This window comes from Homo sapiens, chromosome 22, assembly GCF_000001405.40.
Source record: "Homo sapiens chromosome 22, GRCh38.p14 Primary Assembly".
NCBI classification, from domain to species: domain Eukaryota; kingdom Metazoa; phylum Chordata; class Mammalia; order Primates; family Hominidae; genus Homo; species Homo sapiens.
The window spans coordinates 20,852,637-20,867,311 of NC_000022.11; the positions used below are offsets into that span (position 1 = coordinate 20,852,637).

The 14,675-nt window shown below is 49.8% G+C and overlaps 2 protein-coding genes across 9 annotated transcripts in view, besides 4 other annotated features; one reads left to right on the top strand and one right to left on the bottom strand.

Annotated features, from left to right (window-relative positions):
- The window catches only part of PI4KA (phosphatidylinositol 4-kinase alpha), a 151,121-nt gene extending 144,946 nt beyond the window's left edge, over positions 1 to 6,175 (bottom strand). For all 8 annotated transcript variants that reach the window (NM_001362863.2, NM_001362862.2, XM_005261635.2 and 5 more), the window contains exon 1: positions 5,934 to 6,175. In NM_001362863.2, the coding sequence (NP_001349792.1) occupies positions 5,934 to 6,089 (156 nt within the window). In that variant the 5' untranslated portion in view covers positions 6,090 to 6,175. The remainder of the gene's footprint in view (positions 1 to 5,933) is intronic.
- Positions 5,784 to 5,833: a silencer, noted in NCBI's record as "silent region_13500". NCBI's record gives its function as "represses an Ori minimal core promoter by ATAC-STARR-seq in GM12878 lymphoblastoid cells {active_cell/tissue: GM12878}" and the evidence as "EXISTENCE:reporter gene assay evidence [ECO:0000049][PMID:35858748]".
- Positions 5,854 to 6,613: a silencer, noted in NCBI's record as "silent region_13501". NCBI's record gives its function as "represses an Ori minimal core promoter by ATAC-STARR-seq in GM12878 lymphoblastoid cells {active_cell/tissue: GM12878}" and the evidence as "EXISTENCE:reporter gene assay evidence [ECO:0000049][PMID:35858748]".
- Positions 5,854 to 7,102: a biological region, named in NCBI's record as "H3K27ac hESC enhancer GRCh37_chr22:21213217-21214026".
- Positions 6,293 to 7,102: an enhancer, noted in NCBI's record as "H3K27ac hESC enhancer chr22:21213217-21214026 (GRCh37/hg19 assembly coordinates)". NCBI's record gives its function as "activates a minimal SCP1, AML or CMV promoter by ChIP-STARR-seq in primed H9 embryonic stem cells {active_cell/tissue: H9 hESC(primed)}" and the evidence as "EXISTENCE:reporter gene assay evidence [ECO:0000049][PMID:30033119]".
- The window catches only part of SNAP29 (synaptosome associated protein 29), a 32,208-nt gene continuing 23,903 nt past the window's right edge, over positions 6,371 to 14,675 (top strand). Inside the window, exon 1 of the mRNA NM_004782.4 lies at positions 6,371 to 6,711. Coding sequence (NP_004773.1) covers positions 6,475 to 6,711 — 237 coding nt within the window. The 5' untranslated portion in view covers positions 6,371 to 6,474. The remainder of the gene's footprint in view (positions 6,712 to 14,675) is intronic.

A 14,675-nucleotide genomic window follows, 5' to 3' on the forward strand; every position in this document is an offset into this window, starting at 1 on the left:
ACCCTCATTATCTCTCTCCTCTCGCTCTACGGATGGCTCTTCTTAACATAGCCTCACAAAGCAAAGGGAAAGAGGATAGGAAATTCTTGGCTTCATGATACTGGAAAAACGCCAACACTATGATTTTTACTCCATGGCAGACCACTCTAAAGTACAGACTGAATAACCATGAACTCCAGAAAGCCCACTACCCTAAGCACCAAGCCACATATTCTCCCAACTACAGATTAGAATTAACTCATCTTATGGAGCACATATGTCCACCAAGGAGGGTTCAGCCTGTCCCTAATGCCGCAGTGCCATTTAAACATCAGATCGGGCTGGGTGCAGCAGCTCACACCTGTAATCCCAGCACTTTGGGCGGCCAAGAAAAGAGAATCACTTGAGCCCAGAAATCTGAGACCAGCCTGGGCAAAATGGTGAGACTCCGTCTCTATTTTCTTTCAAAAACCAGATCAATAGTTAGCTACGACACCTCAGGATTCTGGCATTCTAACTGAAGAAAACAAAGAGAACATTTTAGGACATGGAAAAAGGGCTCTGATCAAAGCCTCCTGAGGGTGGGGAGAGGAATAGAAGGACAAGGAATGCTATCTACTTTGCAGCTCTGCCCATGACTCTCGGTATCCCAGGATCGAGGGCCCACTGGTTTAATACAGGCCTATAGAGGAGAGACACAAACAGGCCACTGAACTTCCCTGACAAAGGAAGATTAACCAGGCAGGGCCAGGAGGAAGCTTAGTAGGGGTGGCTCAGCAACATTCTGAAGACAGGTGAGAACCAGGAAAGCAGAACAAGACTAGCGGGCAGATAGAAATCAGGAAGGAGGAGTCTGGAAGCCAACTGTATATGGAGATCCCAATGTTGAAAAGCCTCACTTTCTTTCTTGCCTATTTTTTTCTTCTTATCTTTCTCCCAGAGGGAGAGGGCTGAGGACTGGGTAGGATTTGGTTCAAAGGGCTTCACAGACAGAGTGTCCTCTGAGGTGGGTTCCAATCCTGGGGGTGGGACCCCAGTCTAAAGCACAGCCTAGCAGGAAAAGCTCAAAGCTCAGCCATGGATCAGAACAGATGCTCAAGGGTCTTGGCTTTGGCTATGGGAACATGGCAGGAGTCTAGTCACCAGACCTGAAATATGAGAGTAGAATGGGATCTTGGTCAGGTTGGGGTAGCTCACACCTGTAATCCCAGCACTTTGGGAGGCGAAGGCAGGAGGATCCCTTAAGCCCTGGAATTTGAGACCAGCTTGGGCAAGATGGTGAGACCCCCATCTCTAATTAAATAAAAAAAAAAAAGTAGATGGGATTTATGGTATTTCATTGGTTCATTAAAGGAAAGAGAAAAAAAAAAAAGAGTAGACGGGAAACTTGTAGCAAGGCTGACTTGCTGCTGTTCACCTGAGCAATCAAATTAACACTGCTTCTGATTTACCTGGGGCCTAGCACATACCAAGGAGCAGCAGGAGCTCAATAAATGTTTTCTGAAAGTAATTTTGTTTTTTTTGAGACAGAGTCTCCGTTTGTCGCCCAAGCCAGAATGCAGTGGTGAGATCTCGGCTTACTGCAACCTCAGCCTCCTGGGTTCCAGTGATTCTCTGGCCTCAGCCTCCCAAGTAGCTGGGATTACAGGCGTCCGCCACCACGCCTGGCTAATTTTTGTATTTTTAGTAGAGACGGGGTTTCACCATGTTGGCCAGGCTGGTCTCAAACTCCTGACCTCAAGCGATCAGCCTGCCTCAGCCTCCCAAAGTGCTGGGATTACAGGCGTGAGTCACTGTGCCCAGCCTAAGGTAATTTTTTTTTTTAAGTAAAGTCCACAGAGCAGTAATAGGCTTGGTTTCATGGACTGGGATTAGAGTGAGTGACTAGAGTAAGTAAACACAACTGTGGCATGTAGAGAGACAAAGGTAGGGAAGGTTATGTCATTAATGTACCTCAAGTGTCACTAAAACCATGTCAGGGCTGCCTGAGTTACCAATGTCTGAGCTGAGATGTGAGGTCTGGTTCTGCAAACTTAGCCTTCGCCAGGTCAACCCTATCTAGATCAAGCCCCACGCAGTCCTCCAATCTCTCAGGAAGAAAGAAGAGAAAAAAATAGAAGCAAAGAGAAGGGGAAGAGGGAAGAGAGAAGGGGAGGGATTGGGTTTTAAATACTCATCTCCCCCTATAAGTCTCCATCTTTATTATCTCAGGTGCGTACTCTAAAATTCCTTTACTCTTAAGAACAAGAAACTTGGCCGGGCGTGGTGGCTCACGCCTGCAATCCTGGCACTTTGGGAGGCCGAGGTGGGCGGATCACCTGAGGTCAGGAGTTTGAGACCAGCCTGGCCAACACGGCGAAACCCCATCTCTACTAAAAATACAAAAATTAGCTGGGTGTGGTGGCAGGTGCCTGTAGTCCCAGCTACTCAGGAGACTGAGGCAGGAGAATCGCTTGAACCCGGGAGGTGGAGGTTGCAGTGAACCGAGATCATGCCACTGCACTCCAGCCTGGGCAACAAGAGTGAAACTGTCTCAAAAAAAAAAAAAAAAGAACAAGAAACTTTTCCTTGGGAATGCTAAGGGCTTTTTGTCAATTGCTTCAAAAGGAGGAATGTAGTAAAACACATATTATAGGACTACATATTTTATATATATATATTTTTATTATACTTTAAGTTCAAGGGTACATGTGCACAACATGCAGGTTTGTTACATATGTATACATGTGCCAGGGACTACATATTAACAATGATCCCTAGCATAATCAAGTCGCAAGATCTTAGATAAGGATGAGAGGAATTCACATATATTTAATGGGGTCAGCCACTTACAGAAGCCTCCTCTATGAAATAAGGTGCTTCAGGGGTCCCCAGACTGCCCACATGTATATAGTTGTACTCATGGCTAAATTTTTTACAGTGAATGGATATCAGCAATAGGAAAGGACCTCAAGTGTCACTAAAAGCATGTCAGGGCTGCCTGTAGAAACCCATGCACAGGCTTCCTTATGTTCTCTCCCTCCTGTGAGGATATACATCAAGCTTGCTCCTTGCTACAGCAGCAAAATATTCAATACATGTGTGCAGTTTGTGCCCAGGAAAGTCCATTAGAGAATCAGCACCCTAAGTTTTTAATTTATGCACCACCAGCCTAGCCATCAGATTCCCAGAAGGAAAGCAGGTATTCAACATAAATCATAGTTTGTAAAAAGGATCTAGGCATAGTGAACCATCTTTATTACTAATAGTTACAGGATTGAGGAAAGCATTCAAGTGCTTATTTCCCAGATGCCAGCCAAAGGCCAACTTTGTAAGCAGGCTCTTGTAAAAACAGCAGCCCCAGTGCTGCTCTATTCACTCTTCTTCACAGAAGTGATTAGTAATAGCTAGGCACAGTGGCTCATGCCTGTAATCCCGGCACTTTGGGAGACCAAGGCGGGTGGATTACTTGAAGTCAGGAGTTCAAGACCAGCCTGGCCAATAGGGTGAAACCCCGTCTCCACTAAATACTAAATACTAAACCCCGTCTCTACTAAATACTAAAAAATTTGCCCGGGGTGGTGGCACACGCCTGTAGTCCCAGCTACTCAGGAGGCTACAGTGGAAAAATAGCTTGAAACTGAGAGGCAGAGGTTGCAGTGAGCCGAGATCTCACCACTGCACTCCAGCCTGGGCAACAGAGCGAGACTCCCTCTCAAAAAAACCAAAAAAGTGATTGGTAAATGTTGCCAATGAGACTGAAGTACTTCCTAAAGTAAGTGGCATTAGGGAGCTGCCAACCTGTGGCTATGGCTGTGTTCCTTGTAAAATATAATCTTTTTCTTTTTTTTTTTTTTTTGAGACAGTTTTGCTCTTGTCACCCAGGCTGAAGTGCAATGGCGCAATCTTGGCTCACTGCAACCTCTGCCTCTCAGGTTCAAGCGATTCTCCTGCCTCAGCCTCCCAAGTAGCTGGGATTAGAGGCACGTGCCACCACACCTGGCTAATGTTGGGTTTTTAGCAGAGACAGGGTTTCACCATGTTGGCCAGGCTGGTCTCAAACTCCGACCTCAAGTGATCTGCCTGTCTCAGCCTCCCAAAGTGCTGGGATTACAGGCATGAGCCACCGTGCCCCATCATAAAATATAATCTTGACAACTGAAGCAGTTATTACTACAAAGCTAAGAATGTTGCAATTACAGAATGTTCTCGTGACTAGTGAACATGGCTGAAGAAGCAAATTGAGCTCAAGGTGCCCTTTTCTGAGTTACTGAGTGGAAAGGGTGCTACCACTGCTGGAGCTGCAGGACCAGCTTCTTAAAGATCATCCAATTCACTGCATTCTCTTCTCTCTCCTCCCAGAATCCAGCAATCAGTCATAAGATATATTTGTTGGCTCTCCTGCTAAGAAGCGAATGTGCTGACTAGCTAGCATGAGTTTGATTCAATAAAACAGCACTACACTCCATTAGTCAGACTATCTAATGATAACAGTGCTCATACATTAGGTACCCACGTGCCTTTTTGTTGCTCTTCACAATACTCCTATGAAGTACTACCTTGTATTTGACAGAAGATAGCAAAGTATCAGAGAAGGGAACTGACCTGTCTAGAGTCACACTAGTGAAAGCAAGTGATACAGGATTTAAATTCAGAGGTTCCATTTTCCAAACTCATGTCCTTTCCATTGCATTGTACTCCCTCTTTAGCTAGAAGTCAGGTTAGCACCAATCTGCCGGGACCTTCTCACCCCGAAGGTGCATGATAAAATCAAATATGAGAACCGACAAGGCCAAGGACCAGGTCACTCTGCCAAAAGTGCCTAAAACAGCCTTTCAGCTTCATCCATCAGCAGACAGCCACAAAACCACTCCCAACTGCAGCAGGCTGGTCTCCGGTCACCACTGTCTTATCTTGTCGGAAAACATCCTCTCTCCATGTGCCAAAAAGTTGAGTGGGAAAATAATTCCATCCTTTCAGAGCTAAACACTGTGCTGAGTCTCATCGCACACGGGTGGGCAAAGAAAGTTGACATTTACTGCTCACCCACTCTGTGCCTTGACCTGTGCAAGATGCTTTATGCTAGAACTCATTTAATTCTCAAGAACAACCTCATTTTACAGATAAGGATACAGAGGCTCTAAGAGTTAAATTTACCCAAGAGGACATGGTAAGTAAGTGCCAGTGCAGGGAACAAATTCAGGTCCCACTCTAAAATCTGTCTCTTTCCAGATCTCAAGGCACACCACTGAGTTGCCTTTCACCTTTCTCCCAAGATGAGGATTGCTCTGGCATGACTTCACCTTTCTCTTCTGAAGCAATTCCAAGTTCACTTCTCTGCCCACTGACAGTTCACTCTCCTTTCCCTGCCACTGTCCCTTCTGCAAACGCACAATCTTTTACCCAACCTAACGCCCCCAGCCTCGTAGAATAACACTGCGCAGTTGGTTTACAGTCACAAAGCACTTTCAAGACAGTGTTTCGTCTCCTGGTCACCACAGTCCGGTGAAGCCGGCAAAGCAGATAAAAGCATCCCCATTTTACAAGAAAGCCATCTTCCCAAGGTCGCGGAATAAAAAGCAGGTGAAATCGGAAGCAGAACCCCAGGTCTTGACCCCTGGTCCTCGGCTCATCCCACTGCTCCGCACAGCCGCCCACGATCCAGCCTCCACCTCCGCGATGTCACAAGATGCTCCCTGGGCCAGCAGCTCACATCCCCCACCCCCATCCCACAACCACCCACCTGCAGCGGCCCTGCAGGCCCCGCCGACCCTTCCCCCACGGTCCCTCTCTCTTCACCAGCCCCTCCCACTAGGGCCTCCTTCCCCCGCTAGATCCCTCCGCTCAGGCGCCCCCTCCCGCACAGGCTGCCGGCGAGCCCAGCCTCGGCCTCCCACAGACCCTCGTCCCGCCTCCACGCTTCGTCACCCCAGCCCCTCCTCCTGTCAGCCCGCGGCCCAGCCCGCCGACGTTACCTTCTCCAAGGATGCTGGTCTCTGCACCGCCAGGGAGCGGGCCAGTGACAGGACCGTGTTGAAATAGAAGCCCCGCGAGGCGCTGGAGCCGGAGCCGGAGCAGCCGCCGCCGCCTCCGCCTCCGCCTCCGCCTCCCCGGGCCGGGGCCGCCGCCATCACCTCACGAGCCGCGGCGCTGCCCGCCGGCTCCCCGCTCCTGGCCCGCGAGCGCCCGACCTCAGGGCGCAGGCGTAGGTGCATCCGGCTTTCCCGCCACGTGACCTCTCAGTTGCTGACACTAGATAGGGCGTGGCTGCGGGGCGGGCCCACCGCTGCAGGGGAGAGAGGGGATGGACAGTAGGCTGCGGTTGCGCGCGCCGGATGTGGGCCCCCCCCAGCCGACCTGCGCGATGGTCGGCTCCGAGGGCGGGGCCACCTGCGCGCGACGCGCGGAAGGAGTTCGCGCGACGACCGCGGGGTCGGCGGGCGGGGCGAGGCCCTGGACGGCGGCGGCAGTGGGGCTCCTCCTTCTGTTTCCCAGACCGAGAGCCGCGCCGGCACCATGTCAGCTTACCCTAAAAGCTACAATCCGTTCGACGACGACGGGGAGGACGAAGGCGCCCGGCCGGCCCCTTGGAGGGACGCCCGAGACCTCCCCGACGGGCCCGACGCGCCCGCGGACAGGCAGCAGTACTTGCGGCAGGAGGTCCTCCGCAGGGCTGAGGCCACGGCCGCCAGCACCAGCAGGTCCCTGGCCCTCATGTACGAGTCCGAGAAGGTTGGGGTCGCCTCTTCCGAGGTGAGCCTGGGGCAGGGCTGGTGTGGACTCGCCGGTCTCTGTGCTGTCAAACGGAGACGAGAAATGTTTTGCTCACAATCTTTTGAGAATTCTCAAGTTGCCTAGCATAGATTCTTGCACCTTAGTGACTCGATGGTGGTAACAATCTGTTAACTATGTAAAGGTATGTGCATCTGGAGTACTTGAAGAGGGCAGTTTACCCCAGAAATCTTCCTTAGCTATTAGTCTGCTTCGTTGATTTTTTTTTTCTTACGCCTAGCTCACGGGGAAACGCCAGATTATTTTCTGTCCAGGTGAGTAAAAATTCTGAACAGCAGGTCCTAGGTTTGGGAAATGGAGAGTCCGTTTCTTCGACATTATTTCCTGTGCAAAATCTGGCACAGGGTTTTGGCCATTCCTTCCGGAGTGAGCCAGAAAGAGAGGACTATGTGCCTGCGAGTGTCAGGTGATACCCTGAAGCATCAGGGCAGGTGGTCCACGAGTTCTTCCCGCATCATTGACATCTCCACCTAACCAACCAATAGAGGTATTGAAGTCCCTTCAGCCCAGACAGCTGCCTAGTTGACCAAAGCCTGGGTTTGATTGAGTCCAGGGTCTTACCTTTACTTCCCAAATCCTAGACAAATAGTGTGCGGGTTAAGAGTTTGTTGCTCCAACTCATCTTCATCAGTTCTTCCCATCCTTAGATTTCAGAGAGTAGTACCTTCAATAACAATTATTCTGGCCGAGCGCAGTGACTCACGCCTGTAATCCCAGCACTTTGGGAGGCCTAGGCGTCGGATCGCCTGAGCTCAGGAGTTCGAGACCCGCCTGGGCAACATGGTGAAACCCTGTCTCCACTAAAATTAAAAAAAAAAAAAAACTAGCCGGGTGTGGCGGTGCGCCTGTAGTCGCAGCTACTCAGGAGGCTGAGGTAGGAGAATCGCTTGTACCCGGGAGGCAGAGGTTGCAGTTAGCTGAGATCGTGCTGCTGCACTCCAGCATGGGCAACAGACCGAGATCCTGGAGGGTCTTTTTCTTTTTCTTTTTTTTTTTTTTTTGAGATGGAATCTCGCTCTGTCGCCCTTGCTTGGGTACAGTGGCATGATCTGGGCTCACTGCAACTTCCGCCTCCGGGATTCAGACGATTCTCCTGCCTCAGCCTCCCGAGTAGCTGGGACTACAGGTGCGCCGCCACACCCGGCTAATTTTTTTTGTATTTGTAGTGGAGACAGGGTTTTGCCCCGTTGGCCAGGCTGGTCTGGAACTCCTGACCTCAGGCAGTCCGCCCGCTTTGGCCTCCCAAAGGGCTGGGATTACAGGCGTGAGCCACCATACCGGTCGAGAATGATTCTTTATTGTACACCACAGTCTCTCTTCAGCCTGCTAATGAAACAGTTTTGTTTGGACAGAGAAAAAAAAAGGTTTAAAAAAATGTATAAGCCAGGCGCGGTTGTACTTCTGTAATCCCAACAATTTGTAAGGCTGAGGTAGGCAGATCATTTTAGCCCAGGAGTTTGAGACCAGCAGGGGTAACTGCGTCTCTACAAAATTTGAAAAATTAGCCAGGCATGGTGGCACACACATGTGAGTGCAGCTACTGAGGAGGCTGAGGCAGGAGGACCGCTTGAGCCCAGGATGTCAAGGTTGCAGTGAGCCATGTTCATACCACTGCACTCCAGCTTGGGCGACAGAGCAACACGCTATCATTTCCCCTTGCTGTTTTCTTGGGTTAATTCCCTTCCCCACCTCTCTCTGTTCATGTATCCCTCATTGATCCACCTCCCTGTGGTTTTTTTTTTTTTTTTTTGAGACAGATTCTCGCTCTGTCACCAGACTGGAGTGCAGTGGCACCAACTTGGCTCACTACAGCCTCCGCCTCCTGGGTTCAAGTGATTCTCCTGCCTCAGCCTCCTGAGTAGCTGGGACTAAGGCGTGCACTACCACACCCAGCTAATTTTGGTATTAATAGAGTTGGGGTTTTGCCATGTTGGCCAGGATGGTCTCGATCTCTTGACCTCGTGATCCACCACCTCGGCCTCCCAAAGTCCTGGGATTATAGGCGTGAGCCACTGCACCTAGCCCACCTCCCTGTGTTTAACTGTTGGTTTTTTATTTTTGTTTTGTTTGAGACAAAGTCTTACTCTGTCACCCAGGCTGGAGTGCGATGGTGTGATCTCGGCTCACTGCAACCTCCACCTCCCCAGTTCAAATGATTCTCCTGCCTCAACCTCCCAAGTAGCTGGGATTAGAGGCACCTGCTACAACACCTGGCTAATTTTTTTGTTTTTGTTTTTGTTTTTGTTTTTTTGGTGTTTTTTGTTTTTGAGACGGAGTCTTGCTCTGTCTCCCAGGCTAGAGTTCAGTGGCGCGATCTCAGCTCACTGCTACCTCTGCCTCCCAGGTCAAGCGATTCTCCTGCCTCAACCTCCTGAGTAGCTGGGCTTACAGGCACCCGCCGCCATGCCCAGCTAATTTTTGTATTTTTAGTAGAGACGGGGTTTCACTGTGTTGGTCCGGCTGGTCTTGAACTCCTGACCTCATGATCCACCTGCCTTGGCCTCCCAAAGTGTTGGGATTACAGGCGTGAGCGACCACACCTGGCCTCTGATTTTTGTATTTTTAGTAGAGACAGGTTTCGCCATGTTGGGCAGGCTGGTCTCAAACGCCTGACCTTAGGTGATCTGCCCACCTCAGCCTCCCAAAGTGCTGGGATTACAGATGTGAGCCACTGCGCCCGGTCCTAACCTTGTTAGGGAGGTTTTGCCTGTAGTTCTTACATCTCATACCTACTGGATTCCTATGTTCCATTCTAAATGGGAAGTCTTGGCTTAGATTTGAGAGGATTGCCTGAGGTTTTAGGGCCCTGGTGAATGGGTCACATGATTGAGGATCTCAAGCCCAAGGAATTCAACTAACAACTATTTAAGGAGACATCTTTGTAAACTGAGAACAAATGAAGTAGGGAATCAATGATTCAAAGTAGGGCATTGTGGCAGAGGATAAACTTGAATCTAGCTTTTAAGGCTGAGGTTTACACAAGAGGAGTGAGAATGAGGGATGTTCTTAGGGAAGACAGGAAAATATGCAAATGCACTGGCCCAGCAACAGAGCTCCTGGGTCCAGAGGAGGGACATGATAGACTGGGTGTGTTAGAGGACAGGGGATGGAGGAGGTAGCTTAGGAGCCCTTGGAGGTCATAGGGAAAGTTCTGGTCTCATAGCGCAGGAGAGGCAAAAATGTAATAGTGGTGAGTTTGATATAGATTGTGATGACATGCCCCGTGCTGCCCCCAAAGGTCTTTCTATGCAGTGGGGACAGTGAGAGCTGAGGCAGAGTGGCACTTCAGGCATATCAGGCTTGGCCAGGCCAGGCATTGCTGTGAGAAGTACAGTGTGGTCATGACTGGGCAGGTGACAGGTGCTCTTGTCAGTGAGACAACATGTTGGAATTTTCCAGGATTGGGTCAGTTCTCAATTATGAGAAGCCCTGGGAGTCAGGGATGACCTACATCTCCACCACACCCAGTGTTCTCCAAGCTGTCTTTGTTTTTGTGTTTTGTTTTGGGGGAGGTTTTTTGAGATGGGGGTCTCACTCTGTCAACCAGGCTAGAGTGCCGTGGTGCAATCTTGGCTCACTGCAGCCTCTGCCTCCAGGTGCAAGTGATCCTCCTGCCACAGCCTCCCAAGTAGCCAAGACTACAGGTGCACGCCACCACACTCGACTAATTTTTGGTATTTTTGGTGGAGATGGGCTTTCGCCATGTTACCCAGGCTAGTCTCGAATTCCTGAGCTCAGATGATCTGCACACCTTGGCCTCCCAGTGCTGGATTACAGGCTCCAAGCTGTCTTTGAATCACTCTAATCACTCTTTCATTCCCTTTGGTGTTGGGATGGGAACAGAGGAGTATGAGCTCTTCCAACCCTCAGTGCACAGTGTGGCTTCCAGCAAATTCCAGCATACCCTGCTAATCACCCAACTTAGGTGCCTGGTTACCCCAGCACTGTGAAACATGCCAACACATGACAGATTTATGTCAAAGATGAGGACTTTACAAATTATATTAGGTTGGGAAGATTATAATTCAGTCCCAGCTTGGCAGGAAAATGGCTTAGTTAAGTCACCTCTAGCAAAGAGAGCTGCCCTTCTCCTACTGTGAAACCTGGCAAGGATTGTTTCTCACAAAGGCTCAGGCCACAGGCTATGACCACAAAAGAACAGAGGAGAAGTAGTGGGAGCAGGGCGGTTTCCCCAGGCCGACCTGGTAGGCGCTTTGTAGAACTACAGGGAGACTTGTAAGCCACTCGTCTCTTTCCCTGTTTAGTAAGCATGATTTCTTCTTTTTTTTTTCCTAAGGTTTAATTTTTATGAAGAGAGATTCCAATCACATGGTTCAAAATTTCAAAACATACAAAAGGGTGTAGTCTTCTCCCACTTCCCTCCCTATCATCCCTCTGCCCCTAAGGCAGCCAGGCACTTTCCCTCCTTCAGTGTTTTGGGGAGATAATGCCGTGGATAAAAATGGGTTTTTTTTTTTAAGTGAAGTATTGTATACATTCTGGTCTGCATGTGCTTAATAGAATGGAGTTTGTTCCACACTAGTATGTAATGAGCTGGGCTTTCTTTTTGGCTGTGTTGTATTCCATTGAACAAATGACTTCTATTTATGCAGCCTGTCCCCTAATGATGAGCATTGAGGTTGTTTACACCTTTTGGTGAGTCTATTTGCATCCTACTTGGACATGGTTTTTGTACACCTTTTCATCACTCCAGTGGAGGAGACTCACCTGCCCAGGACACTCTGCTTCCCCTCTTGTAGCTGAACTTAACTCCACTGAGGTTTTCTGGGGCCCGAGATCTCGGTTCAGGGGAGTCCAGCAACAAACATTAGACCAGGGTTGGAACGGCTGGCACAGTAACATCAATGGAAAGGGACAGAGTTTGAGAGTTCAAACGTGATGCACTCAGCAGCCACCGCCAGCACATCCTCCACACCGTCTCGTGCAGGGGCCCACCCATCTCTGTGTCTTTCCAGCACACAACAGTCACCCACACTGGGCATTCCATTCAGAGGTGGGAGAGAGGAGGACACCCCTCCTGGCCCAGGAGCAGAGGCCATCAAGGTGTCCCCGGAACTTAGAGTAGATACATTGCCAAAAGGTGATATCCTCATTCTCAGGGATTCTGGTCTTGGAGCAGCCCACTCCAAATGAGGGGCCGTACAGACCAAAGTCACCCCTCTGAGGCAGCGTGTGGTGATACTGATGCAGCCAGAGTTCTTAGCAAAAGTTGATGGATGGGGACAAGCAGCTGCTAGATTAAGTAATTCCTCAAATTTGTAAATGTCAGCAGTGGAAGAGGAGCAGTCTCTTACCCATCTCTTGCTCAACTTTCTACCCCCACGCTTCTCAGCACAATGTCCTTAAGCGTTATTGGCGCTCCCAAAATAGTTGCCAAATGAATAAGTGACCTGGGGAAGGAAAGGAAGGAGGGAGGGAACAGAAGATTGCCTGAAAAAGGAGGAGAGAGTTGGGTGGAAAGAATGCATTGAGCTGTGTGCCTTGGTTGCAATGCCTGTCCTGTGACCAGAAAATGCATCCCAACACATGTCAGGCTGTGTCTAGCAGGTGGGAGGGAGTCTGGTGGAGAAATGGCATTGGACCACATACTCACCGCTAGGTCTGTTCGGGATTTATTTTTAATTAATTTTTGGTAAACTATCAATGATTGAATTTGACCATTGATGGCCAGGTGTGGTGGCTCACACCTGTAATCCTAGCACTTGGGGAGGCTGAGGCAGGTGGATCCCTTGAACCCAGGAGTTCAAGATCAGCCTGGGGAATGTGGTAAAACCCTGGCTCTACAAAAAATACAAAAATTACCTGGGCATGGCGGTGCATGCCTGTAGTTCCAGCTACTCAGAAGGCTGAGGTAGGAGGATCTCTTGAACCAGGGAGGTCAAGGCTGCAGTGAGCTGAGGTCATGCCACTGTATTCCAGCCTGGGTGACAAAGTGAGACCCTGTCTCAAAAAAAAAAAAGAATTAGACCATTGATCCCAGGCCAATTTGCTGGCTTGTTGGCTGTAACAGGATGCCTTCTGAGGATGGGCTGGTTGTTCGAGCTTCTGGCTTCTCCTTCCTGGGCACATCCACTCACAGCTGCCACATTGTCCCAAGGAACCTTGCTTTGCTGACCAGGAAACATGCTGTGACAAGCTGAGCGGCCATCTGCTATACAGCTTTCTGCCTCTGAGGTGTTCTTAGAGTGGGAAGTGTTGTAGGGAGGTGTTTGGGGGTTCCCAAGACTACCCTCAACTTCACTGATTCACTGGAAGGATGCACAGAACTGTTACACGTATGGTGATGGTTTCTTACAATGAAAAGATGCTGATTAAAACCATCAAATGAAAAAAGTGCATAGGGCAGCGTCCAGGGGAAACCAGGCACAAGCTTCCAGTTGTCCTCTCCCCATGGAGTCATGTGGACAACACTTCTCCAAGCAGTGCGTGACAACACACACAGAGTATTGTCAACCAAGGACCCTCACTTAAGCCTGGGTGTCCAGAGTTTTTTGGGGAGTCTGTCACATAGGCATGGCTGAGTATAGTCTCCAACCCCACCAGAGGTCAAGCTGATAACGTGTAGCCCAAGGCCACCATCATATATCACATTGTTAGCATAGTCTGTCTGACCTGGTCTAAGCTTAGGCTCACTTGAGCAAGGACACTCTTATCAGGCAGGATATTCCAAAAACAAGGAACCAGGCTAGGGCCACACCTCTCTTTGGAATGTGGAGTGTATGGACAACCCAGAGCTGCTGAGCTAGCCTTTTGCTCAGCCCCAGGTTGGCCTGCACACAGACGGCGAGGGGCACCAGCACTACCGCCTTTGCCCTTGGTGGTTTTTCCTGCACCCTAAGACCCGATTTGTCTCTGAATCCACCCCATACTCCAGCTGCCACAGTCAGAGCCCCGGGTTTGAGCATCTGCCATGGGTGCTCACGTATCCCTGCCAAGGCTTGTGCCTGTGCACACTCCCTTGGGAAGGGAGAGATGGAACAAAGATAAATTTCAGATTTCTAGATTCAGCTCACTGACTCCAGATTGGCCTCCGTCTACTTATGATGAACCTCATTTATCAGAACCTGAGTTTACGAGCTCAGTATGAGAAACACAGTATTGATGCCCTTCCGTCAGGAACCTGGGGAGGTCTCGGTCACGGAAGCCCACCTGATGTTATAAGATGTGTTGGCTGCGAGTTGCAGTTGAGATCTGTTGGTCACTGCTGCCCTTTGAAGGCCTTAGTGACATCCTGTGGGTGTTCCCTGCCGAGTCCTGTGGGTAGCCCCGCTCACTCCCCACACGGTTCCTCTGCCCCTGCACAAGCTGCACCCTCTGCCTGGTGCCCTTGCCCCACCCCAACTCTTCGTTGTGATTTGTTTTTAGGAAAACTAAGTCCAAATGGACAGGACCCCCAACTTTCTGACTGCCTAACTTCTCAGTCTCTCCTCCAGCCTCAACAGGGAGCCTCTCTGACCCCCACCTTAAGCTAAACAAAGAGTCTGCAGGGAGAGGTGACTCTGTGTGTGTATGTGTTTGTGTGCACGCGTGCAGTAGCTTTAGTTTCTGCCTCCCCCACAGGACTGTAAGCTCAGTGAAGCAAGGACTCATCTGCCTTTCTTGGATTCCGAGCATTGCAATGTTGTCAACAAATGAAAAGCTGAGATTGAACCTCACTCATCTTGCTCTCTGTTAGACTGTAAACACCATCAGGACAGAGACTTGGGATTGTTTCGTGGACAAAGAGAGAACTCTTGTTGGGGTTCAAGGGAGTAAGAAGGGCATCACCTGTAATGCTTAGTAATCACTGAAACAAGGAAGCACTTTGCATGTGCGTCCTTTACACTGAGGGCACCTGCGGAGCTCACTCCCCTAGCAGCCACCCAAGTCCGTTCAGGGACCTCATTCTCCCACGGGAAGTTGGA